Here is a 12,230-nt window from a genome sequence, read left to right as displayed (position 1 = left end):
AAACTAGTAAGATTTTTACACTCTGGTAATGGATCTGTATATAGTCTAAGGAGTGTATTTAAAGTTAAGGTCATTTTCAAGTATGCTGTAGATTTTAGTTTCTGCTGAATCCTTTCCCATCTCCTATTCTATACACGCATATGGGCTCTGTTGTCCTGTGTGGCTTGGGTCCCAGGATATGTGGAAAGCTTATCAAGGCCCCATAGATATATCGTTTCCCAGAACTCCCTATTAAATCCTGGCTAGATCATTGCTTCTGGGTTTCATTCAGCCTTTCGGCTACCATTTTGTCTCTTTGATTTAGAATCTGTTTAGAAAATTAAGTTCTATTTTAAGTGAACATTGGGCTAAAGAAGCTAAGTGTTTATCACTCCTTTTCCAGCTCAAGGATTCCAGGATTTTTATTCCTTTAAAGTATAGTATTCTTTCTTCTTGCAAGACAGCCTTTAGTTCATTTTTTAATTTTTAAATTAGCCCTTTTACAAAAAAATAATAATTTGAATATCTTTTTAGTGTTCTTAGTTCAAAATATATGCTAGTTAGTATTGTCAAGTATCATAACTTGGCAGGGGAAGAGTGGAAGCTGATTTGAGTTAGGATTTCTCATACACTCTATCGGCATTTAGGGCTGGATAACTTTTTGGTGGCCGAGGCTAGAGCACAGCCTGACGTGTGCATTGAAAATATTTAGCAGCATCCTAGGCCTCTACATATTAGACACCAATAGCATACCCACTCATGACAAGTAAAAATGTCTCCAGACATTACCAAGTGTCTTCTGAGTTTAAAATCGCTCCTGATGTAGAACCACTGATTTAAATAAGTCACCAAGGCAATATTAAGTTTATACACTCAACAGAGTAATATGGAATGTATCTCCTAGACTCTTTCTCTAAAATAAATGCATTTTCCTACAGTTGTATTTGAAAATATATGTTTATTTGAACAGTGAATGAAGAAATTCTGTGTTTGCTCCTCTCCTTCAAGGTAAAATCTACAGTAACCTAATGAGATATATATCTCTTTTGTCTGCAGACTTACTTAAGCAGCCTCTCATTTTAAGAAAAATCCCAAAATGACTTATTAACCCACATTTCTTGGAGTGTAAAATTAAACTTATTCAAAGGATACTCAGTTCGGCAAATCTTTAACCTACTTTTCTCTGTTCCCTATTTAAGGTAGTCATTTCTACCCCTCATATACTTGTACTAAAAGAGGGAATTAAGATTAGGGATATAAATTAGTCTACCTTTTTTTGGGAAAATTCAAATCTATTACTTGTATGGAGATAATATAATTGGAAGAAATGAGGTCTTACTGTATTAACATTAATGAATAGCTTATTAGAAATAAATTATAATTTTTAATATTTTATATGAATTATAAGTACAAACAATTAAAGCAGAATTCTTAAGCCATCTATTCTCTACCTAAATTGTAATATGTAATGAAGCTGTTTTCTTAGAATCACTTGCTAGCAGATTTTCCTGTCCTGATGGAACTGTTTGATCTCTATCCCAGAAGGAAATTTATATCAATATAGCCTTCCAATGACTATTCTAAGGACAGTCTCCATTCCTATATACATTTTTCCTAAGGTACCTCCCTCACTGGGGTGGATGTTAATCTTGGAAGAAACCCAAGGTTTTAAAGGTACTTTCCTAGGAATACAATTGTTTCATTGTTAGATATTCTCCTCTTCAACTTCACTGCATATGCTAAAATTACACCCCAAATTTGTTATATCAGTTTGTACTTTTACCAACAATATGTTTTCCTTTTGCTCTATATCACCACTAATACAAGTATTGTCAATCTTTTAATTTTTGTCAGTCTGATGGGTATAAAATAATATCTTACTGTTATTTTAGCCTAATTTTCTTGATTACCAGCCAGGTCTGGCATCTTCCATAGTAGCTGCACATTCTTTGTCACATTTTCTATGGCTCTTGTTCTTCCCTACACACCAGCACATAAAAATATTTCTCCTAAATTTCCTTCTAATAAGTGTAAACTTTTGCTTTTCACACTCAGGTCTTTTTTTTTTTAAGAGAATTAAATTGTTTATTGATTACACCTAATAATGGATGATACACAAGCTTCATTCCCATCTATAATTTTATCTGGTACCATTACTCAATTTAAATATATTGCATAAGATGTGCCAACAATCATTTTTATAACCAATAATTCCATGATTTTGCTTGGGTAATCCCTTTTAATGGTGAACTTCAGGTCACAACAGTAACTATCAGTTCAACTACACCAAGGTTTCTGAAGACAATGACTTCCCCACCCAAGCAGGTTGTATGTAAATTCCAAATAGTACCTGGCATCACTCTGAAGGAATTCTAACTTCACACTGTTGGGGAAATTTACCAAGATGGCTTCAGAGTAGACTAACTTTACACAGCACATTAAAAAAAAGACATTTATTCAGTATCACAATCAGACTATTACATTTAGCAATCAACAGCCTGGGTGCAAAAAAAAAAAAACTACATTAAAACCCTTCGTTGGAATGCTTTACATTTGCCACAGAACAGAAACTAAAATAACCTGTTATACAATTAGTCAGAAATACAGTCCTCGAGTTTTTTGCCTATGCACATGAGTATTTGTCTAAAACATGTCTTCTTTGTAGCAGCTAGGCCCTGCCACCACTGTGCTTGGCTGACTTCACAAATCTGTTGTTACCTGTAGCTTCCCTGTTACTTCTCTGGCTCTCCTCTCCTGCTGAGCTTTGTTTCCTAATTAAAATCTTCTGCCACTGCCATAGCTACGGCTGCTCCTGGAACCGCCATAGCCACCTTGGTTTCGTGGTTTGGCAAAGTATTGGCCTCCACCACCATGGGGGCCAGAGCTTCTGCCTCCAAAGTTTCCCATCTTCATGGGTCCAAAATTTGAAGACTGATTGTTGTAACTGCCAAAATCATTGTAGCTTCCACCACCTCCAAAGTTGCTTCCATCATTACCAAATCCCTTATAGCCATCCCCACTGCCACCATATCCCCCACCACCACAGCTGTCAGCAAAGCCACCATGACCCCTGAAGTTTCCTCCACAACCAAAGTTGTCATTCCCACCGAAAACACCTCCACAACCACCACCAAAGTTTCCAGAACCACTTCGACCTCTTTGCCTGGATGAAGCACTAGCCATCTCTTGCTTTGACAGGTCTTCCTAACTTCACAGTTGTGGCCATTCATGGTATAGTGTTTCTGAATGACCGTCTTATCCATGGAGTCATGGTCGTGAAAGGTTACAAAGGCAAAGCCCCTTTTCTTGCCACTGCCTTGGTCAGTCATGATTTCAATCACTTCCATTTTTCCACACTGTTCAAAATAATCTCTTAGGTGATGTTCTTCAGTGTCTTCTTTAATGCCACCAATAAATATCTTTTTCACAGTTAAGTAGGCAACTGGTCTTTGAGAATCTTCCCTTGAGACAGCTCTCTTTGGTTCCACAACTCTTCCATCCACCTTCTGTGGCCTTGCATTCACGGCTGCATCCACCTCCCCCACAGTGGCATATGTGACAAACCCAAAGCCCCTGGAGCACCTGGTGTTTGGATTTCTCATTACCGCACAGTTCGTGAGGGTTCCCCATTGCTCAAAATGGCTCCTCAGGCTCTCATCAATTGTTTCAAAACTCAACCTTCCAGTGAAAAGCTTCCTCAGCTGTTTGGGCTCTTTAGGAGACTCTGACTTAGACATGACAGCAGGGAGAAGAGAGACTTTAACAATGCTTCTTCGGCGGCATCCACGGGCAGAAAGGAGCAAGCTGACCTCAGATCTTTTAATTGATTTAACTTTTTCTGTATGGATGACCAGTGATCCCAACCTCATTTATTTAAAAGTTCATCCCTACTGCACTAATTAGTAATTCTTCTATGCTAAATAGTTGAGTGTGAACGGGTCTGTTTATGGTCATTCAGTTCTTTTTTTTTTTTTTTTTTTTTTTTTTTTTGAGACAGAGTCTCAAACTGTCACCCAGGCTGGAGTGCAGTGGCGCCATCTTGGCTCACTGCAACGTCTGCCTCCGGGATTCCAGCAATTCTCCTGCCTCAGCCTCCTGAGTAGCTGGGATTACAGGCACGCACCACCACATCCAGCTAATTTTTGTATTTTTAGTAGAGACGGAGTTTCTTCATGTTGGCCAGACTGGTCTTGAACTCCTGACCTCAGGTGATCTGCCCACCTCAGCCTCCCAAAGTGCTGGGATTACAGGCATGAGCCACCATGCCTGGCCACTCAGTTCATTTTTAGTAGTCTCATCCCTCTGCTGGTACTATATTGTGTTAATTACTATAATTAAATAATCTTATTAACTGGCAGAACAAGGGTGCCCTTATTCTTCCAAGTTGGCTATTCACTTTTCCATATGAATTTTAGAACAACTTTGTGAGTTCCATGAAAAAATCCTATTGCCATTTTGTTTGGAATTTTAATACATTTATTTATTAATTTTGAAGAGTATCTTTATAGTATTGAATCTTCCTATTAATAGATCTTTGCATATGGAGGGTTTTTTTTTAAGTTCTTCAATAAAAGTTTACATTTTTTTCATCTAGGGAAAGCCATAGGATTCCTCATCATTTTTGTTGATGAAATAATTGGTATTTTTATTACATTCTAAGTTACTAGTTTTATTATTGATTTTTATATATCTATTTTGTATGTCACATTCTCTTGTTAGTTTATAGATCTGTTTGGATTTTCCATATCGGTAATCATATCCCCTGCAATATTAACAATGTGTTTTTTCCTAATACGTAATATCTTTCATTTCATTTTTCTGTATTATTTTGCTAGATAGATTCTTTGGAGGTTAATTGAAGCCATTATGGTGGGCATCCTTTTCCTTTCATCCTAACTTTAATGAAAATGATCCTGTATTTTGCTGTTGGATATGGAGTTTTCTATAGGCTGGTGGTAGTTGTGAGTTATGTTGATTTGTTTATTGTTTTCGTTGTTGTTTTTAGATTAAAGAAGTTCTATTTCTAGTTTGCTAAGAGGTTGTAGGGATGTGTGTGTGTGTGAATGCTTTCACTTGCATCTGTATAGATGATCATATGGGTTTTTTTTAATCTATTGGTGTGGTAAATTACATTCATAGATTTTCAGTTGATAAAACATTGATTATGAGATTAACGCAAATTCAGCGTATTTTTTTAATTACTGGATTTGAATTGTAATGATTTTATTTAGAATTTTGGCATATGTAACATTTGTTTCTGTTACTGCCCTTTGTTGGGTCTGGCATCAAAATTATACCAGTTTTATAAAATAAGGAATAGTCCCTCTTTTTCTGTTATCCAGAACCATTTGAATAAATGCATATTGGTTGTTCCCTAAATGTTTGTTAGAATTCACCTGTAAAACAATCTGGATTTGATATTTTCTTTAGCTTGTCTTATAGTAGATTTTTAACAACTGATTCTGTTTCTTTGATGTCTGTAGTTTATTCAGATTATTTGGGGAGGTTTCAGTTTTGAGAATCTGTATTTTTCTAGAACTTGACCATTTTGTATAGATTTTAAAATACATTTTTTTTTCTTTTTTTTGAGATAAGAGTCTTGCTCTGTGGCCCAGGCTGGAGTGCAGTGGCGCTATTTCGGCTTGCTGCAAGCTCCGCCTCCCAGGTTCACGCCATTCTCCTGCCTCAGCCTCCCGAGTATCTGGGACTACAGGCCCTCGCCACCACGCCCAGCTAATTTTTTTGTATTTTTTAGTAGAGACGGGGTTTCACTGTGCTAGCCAGGATGGTCTTGGTCTCCTGACCTCGTGATCTGCCCGCCTCAGCCTCCCAAAGTGCTGGGATTATAGGCGTGAGCCACCGCAAAACTGTTGTTCTTAGTAGTATCACATGACTTTTGAAAATCTCTTAACATATCTTTAGTTATATATCCACTTTGAATCTCACTGTTTTTTCCACTAGTCTTTTCTCCTTGGATTTGGTGTATTTTAATAGTCTTCTCAAAGAACCACTTTTTGCCTTTTTGATTCTCTTGATTAAATTCTTTTCCTGTCTCTTAATTCCTTTCTTATACTTGGTTTTAGTATGTTCTTTGACTTCTTTAATTGGATGCTTTCTCAGTTGTTTCTAGTATTATACAGTTCTTTTATATAACAGTCAAATTGCATCTCACAAGTCTTAATATTTTCATTCTCGTTCATATTTTATATTGTTCCTATTATCTTGTTTGCTCCATAAATTTAGAATTCTCTTTAATTTTTCAAGCACTTTTTTCTAATATTATTGACTGTTTTTTAGTCTATTTGCATTTTTTTCAGAGATTATGTTCTGTCTGACACCAATTCTTGGTTATTGTTGACAGTGTTCTGCAGTCTTTGGGATCTGCACATATGTGATAAATTTTCTAAATTTTCCATGTGTGCTTGAAAAGAATATGTATTTCTTAATTGTTAGACTCACAGTTCAATATATGTTCATCATATCAAACTTACTAATTTGTATTGTTAAAATTTTTTTAATCTTAACTCATTTTTTTGTTTAATCCGTTAATTGCCAAGAGTTATGTCAAATTTACCCCTTATGGTGTGGATTTGTTCAATTTCTTCTTGTAATTATGCATTTAAAATATTCCTGGTGAATTATTACTTTTATTATTAGGTAGAGACTCTTTGTGCCTAATAATGTTTATCACCTTGAACTGCATTCTGTCAGATATTAAGAAAACTACAACTTTTGGTAGGGGAGAAAAGGCTAACATTTGTCTGTTGCCTTTAAGTATGTTTCTACTTTTGTATTTTAAATATGGCTGTTTTAAACATCATAGTTCTTTTTAATACAGTCTGAAAAATCTGTTAAGTTTTGAGTTTATTTTATATATGGTAATGACCAATATATTTGTATTTATTTCTATTATTTTATTTTGTGCTTTTGATTCTGCTTTATAAAATGCTTTTTTACTCCTTTCTTTCTTTTCATGTTATTTAATGAGTTTTTCTCTTTGTTCTCTGCTCTTGGTTTTTAACTTCTGTAGTCATTGTCTTTTATTTAATGGTCATATGTTCTCATATATTGGAAACCGATTGTTTACAGCCCTCCTCAAAGTTGGCCATCATTATTATTTCACACAGTCAATGTTTCTTTTGATTTACCTAAGTCTTTGTCACTTTCATTCCTCTCCATTCCTACTTTCATCCTACTCTTTCTTTTGGGATTCAGTTAACTACTTCTTAAAGTACATAATTTAATAGTTCTTTCAGTGAATGTGTATTGGTAATGCTTAGATCTTTGATGTTCAAATGTCTTTTAATTTTGTTTCATTCTTGAAGTATGATTTAACTGAGTGTAGAATTCTACCTTGATAGTTATTTTTCTCAGTGCTTTAAAGTGTTTTCCACTGCCTTTGACATAGACTGTTTTATGACATCTACTCCCAGTCCCCTACTGTCTTACAATTTTATAGTAAACTGATTTGTCTTCCTGGTGTTTTAGAGATCTATTTGATTTTGATATTTGCAACTTCAGTATCTTGTATTTATATATATATATTTGTTTTTATTTGTCTTCCTTATGATACATTGTTTTTCCCAAAATCCATATGAGGCTTTTTAGATTAGATTCTTCAGGTGAGACTTTACCTCGCCCACCTAGAAACCAGATTGAGACAAACAATCTTTCTTGATGTTTTTCTGTGTTGTTGAGTGACTTTTATTAATAGGCTCTTTAGGGTCTTTGCTTTATTCCTGAATCTATCACTTTTTGTCACTTACTTCCCAAAATGTACCTGACTCCTCATTTCTTGTACCATCCTGGTACTGCAACCCAAGTGTCAAGATTACCAAAATGCTGTTACAGTAGTATGTCTACTGAGCTAATACAAATGGCATCAACCACAGTTGATATTTTTTAAGTGTAATCATGTATGACTAGGCAAAAGTAGATTAAAGAGAGTAAAAACTAAAGCAGTAGTTGCCAATTATTTTTTATCCCAGTTCTACACTAGAGGGATATCACATACTCACTTCAGGCACACTAGCTTACTACTGTAAGTCTTAAGAAAAAGAACTTGTAGTTATGTCCCCCTGGTGGATGGGAACTAAAGTTAAGATACCAGTGACCTAAAAAGATGAGGGTAGAGAACAAATCATTTGGAGTTTCATACTATTATTTTGATTATCTGTGTTCTTTGACTCTTCAATAATGCTCTTGAGAAAGATACTGCATTTGTAATTAATTGTATTCTTTTTCTGCATGTGTTTAGTTTTGTTTGTTGTTTTTTTTAAGGCATTCTGTGAAACTTTAGAAGAGACAAACTACCGCTTACAGAAAGAACTACTTGAAAAACAAAAGGAGATGGAATCACTAAAGAAACTGCTCAGTGAGAAGCAACTTCATATAGACACTTTAGAGAACAGAATCAGGTGTGTTGTGATACTTGCATTTCTACTCTGACTAATTCAACCCTTAATACTCTGGGCTAACTGCCCTTTATATTTTAATATGATTTAGGAATTTTCTGATTCTGAAAGTTGTAGGCTTTTGGCATACTTCATTGGGAAAATTATGCTTTATTTAGCATAATTTTGCTAAATAAATTTTGAACATTGAAGGATGGGAAACATCAGGAAAATAAGCCACTAACTGTTCAACAAGGTAAACATTATTCATTTTAATCATTGTTAAATCATTATTAAATAAATAATCATTATTAAATGGAATACCATTATTTTATTTAAGTGACATCTTAGTTTCTAGGCATTTATGCCAGCTTTTCACATATGAAAGCTCTGGTTTGCCATCTCATCAGCATATCTTGAATTGATACTAAAGTCATTTTAAATTAATCATAGCTACTGATTTTCTCTGTTGACTTCCAAAGTGAGCTATTTATTAGCTATGTAACTACATTAAGGCTTAACAGCTAAAGACTGCTATAGCTACCTGTATTCACAACATTAAACATATGCCTGTTTTGTTCATAGAAAATAACTTGTTGCTATAACATACTTTTAGAACATTGTCTTTAGAACCTGAAGAATCACTGGATGTGTCAGAAACAGAAGGTGAACAGATCCTAAAGGTGGAGTCCTCTGCACTTGAGGTTGATCAAGATGTCCTGGATGAAGAATCTAGGTATATAATATTTCATTTATGATAGCTTAATTCTTGAATAATTGGAGGAAAGTGATTCTAATACTCTATAGAGTATTTTTTTATGAACTCAGTGTTACTGTATCACGAATCTGCTAAGCAAACAGAGAATGAATTGGAAATATTTTAGGCTTTTCCTAAAATATTTAAAAATAAAAACACTTTAAAAATAAAAAGTGTCTTTGACATCAGGATGTAAGTTTTCTCATTACTTACTTTAGAGCTGTGTCTGCATTAACTGGCCTCTGACTCAGGTAATTAACTAATTTTTTAAATATTGACAGATTACCTTAATCTCCCTCAATATCACCCTTTTTCCATTGAAAAAGTAGGCTACTATAATATAATAGCAAACCACCCTTCTTACCTAATAGGAATGATGAAAAGGTAATGAATTTAAAAGCACATAGAATTTTTATTGCATACAAATCCAAGGTAATTGTTAATAGTTTAGTGGTAATGGTCAACTATAATTCTGAGAAAAATTTTATGTTGATAAAGGTAATTACCAAGTAGATTTTTATTGGTAAATGGTAGTTTGGAGAGCTGAGTTTAAAAACCTATCTCCAAAGGTCTTACTTGGCAATGACAACTTAAATATATCAAATTTCTGATTGAATGTTTAAATACTCTTACATTAAATACTTTTACACTAAGTATGTAAATTTTCTATAAGGTAGAAGATTTTTAAAGGTAATAGTGAAAATGAAATAATAGCATGCATCCAGTCCCATCATTGATATGTTCCTTTTTTTTTTTTTTTTGCAGAGCTGATAATAAACCATGCTTAAGTTTTAGTGAACCTGAAAATGCTGTATCAGAGATAGAAGTAGCAGAAGTGGCATATGATGCTGAAGAAGACTAATGTATCACAAGCAGTTCCCTCCATTTAGACTATTCAAAAATTTAGAAGAGTGGCAAATACTATTTTAAAAGAAGAACCAAGAACTGTAAAACATATAGAAAAGAGCAAGAATGCACATGTATAAAGTTTACATAAAGAAGTTTTTTTAAGTTATTGAGATAGGAAATATATTCACTGCTGCTTTTAATTGTATTTTATCCAATTACATTTAATACACTAAAAAAAATCTTGTTGGAATTCTGTTATCAAGGCCCACATTCTTAAATACTGTGCATAAATTATTATGGTGTTTTGCCTATATATTGCTCCAAACTACTGTGTATATATGTATGTGTGTTAAATCACCAATTATATTAATCAAATGGAAATTAATTGCATGTTACTATCTGGGTGATATATTCTTCTTTATATCTCTGACATGACATATTTTCATTAATAGTTTAAATCAGTGACCATCATAATAAAGATAAAATTTAGTTGAGTTTTTAATGTTTACATGTTTACATCTCTAAATAAAATTTGCTTATTTGAAATGTTAATGCTCTTTAGAAAAATGACTTTCTAGTACCAAAGGAAAACTACTTGAAAGAGCTGTAATCATATAGCTAAAGTGATAAGATAGCCTTGATTTTAAAAGCTGATTCATTAATATCAAAATACTTTAATAAGTGTCACAGTTATTAATATGTTACATTTGTTTAGTTTCCACGTAATCTTTATCTCTACCTAGATTTAGTGAGTTTGCCTCTTTCAGAATACTACCTCCTTTTGTTAAGGCATATTCTTTCGAAAATATAGATTCTAAATAAATAGGGGCTTATACAAAAAAGAAAATAAAAAGCCATATATACTGCAAAGTTCCTAACTGGCTTGACTCCTGACATTGCATTTTTATTTCTATTTGTGTGAAGATGTTGTTATACTGTATTATGGCTGATTTTCTTTTTAATATATTTAGCCAAGTGATGCACTTTATGATAATTAAACTCTTTTGTGCCAAGTTTAATTGGTGGATTTTTTTAGTAAGTAGAGTTAGGAGAAAGAATTATGTAGTGCCTTTACTATTTCACTTTCTACAAAAGTCTCCTAGGGTCTTTGAGTCAGCTTTATGAAAAAATGTTTGTTTATTTCAGCTTTGTGTACAGTCATTAAAAGTGCCTTGTTTCATTTTTATAGGATGAAGTTATTTATTTTCTATTTTCACTGTTTTGCATATTGCTGTTAATAAGCATTGTAATCATGCTGGCATTTTGCAATCCCAGTCGGTATGCTTTCTAAAAACTGAGGGAAACTTACTGGGGAAATAGAATAACAATCTCCATTTTTTTCTTTACTATCTAAAAGTTTATCGGTATCTTGATGTATATATATATTAAGGTGTGGCTGTTTAAAATTCTAATGACATATATCAACACATTCAATGGCTGTTGTTAACCTTTGAAGTAAAAAGGAGATCACTTTTTACCAAATAACCAAAAATTTTTAGTCTGTCAAAGTGCACAGGTATGTTCTCAGAACATTTTTCACAATGTGTATCAGAAATATGTTTGCTATCCTTAGAGACAGAAATGAATATAATAAATTGATCTGCTTATTTATTAAAATTATTATTCTAGACTTACAAAAGGCTTAAAAAGAACAATCATTTAATCAGTACCATTCTGTATCTTATATAACAGATCTTTGCCAAATTCTAGATATTATAGTGTTGCCTGTCTGTTCTAAAGCGAACCAGCCACTTTTTCAATCTGGCTTTTTGGAAGATTGTATTTAAAGTTCTTCAAGGATGAAGAAAAAAATCTGTTAATTAGGTAAACCACTATTATTTATATTTATAATTTACTTTTTTTTACTTTTATAATGCATTTTACTCCCAGTATTATGTTCATTTAATAAATTATTTTTTCACTACAACAGTAGCTGTGTTGTTCATATGTTGAATACCATTTTCCCCCTCCATTTTCTATATTCTCCCTATCTTTTACAATTATTGTAAATTGAATTATATTTAAGTGCTGAATTTCACAGATGTAGAATGAGTCTGATTTTCTTTTTAGGTTTACACTTTATATTGCTGATCATTTTTTGAAAGTCTTTGTGAATAGGTGCAATGCACTTTAACATAACCTATACTAATAATTCTAAAAATTGAATGTAACTGAAATAACATTTTTGTGGATAATCTTTTAACCTTTTAGAAATAAGTTTACATATAGTTAGTACAACCATAAAACAGCAT

The 12,230-nt window shown here is 33.2% G+C and overlaps 1 protein-coding gene and 1 pseudogene across 13 annotated transcripts in view; one reads left to right on the top strand and one right to left on the bottom strand.

Annotated features, from left to right (window-relative positions):
- SNX16 (sorting nexin 16) overlaps window positions 1-11,905 on the top strand; it is a 42,603-nt gene extending 30,698 nt beyond the window's left edge. For all 13 annotated transcript variants that reach the window (NR_145473.2, NR_145472.2, NR_145475.2 and 10 more), the window contains 3 exons: window positions 8,260-8,396; window positions 8,989-9,108; window positions 9,895-11,905. Coding sequence is in view for 9 of the 13 variants with exons in the window: in XM_005251282.5 (XP_005251339.1) it covers window positions 8,260-8,396; window positions 8,989-9,108; window positions 9,895-9,991 (354 nt within the window). In the remaining 4 variants the exon portion in view is untranslated. The remainder of the gene's footprint in view (window positions 1-8,259; window positions 8,397-8,988; window positions 9,109-9,894) is intronic.
- Window positions 2,558-3,788, bottom strand: HNRNPA1P36 (heterogeneous nuclear ribonucleoprotein A1 pseudogene 36; annotated as a pseudogene).
- Window positions 11,906-12,230: the final 325 nt, after the last annotated feature.

Source organism: Homo sapiens, chromosome 8 (genome assembly GCF_000001405.40).
Source record: "Homo sapiens chromosome 8, GRCh38.p14 Primary Assembly".
Lineage (NCBI taxonomy): Eukaryota > Metazoa > Chordata > Mammalia > Primates > Hominidae > Homo > Homo sapiens.
Note: the sequence above shows the minus strand (reverse complement) of the source record. Positions and strands in the feature narration are given on the sequence as shown.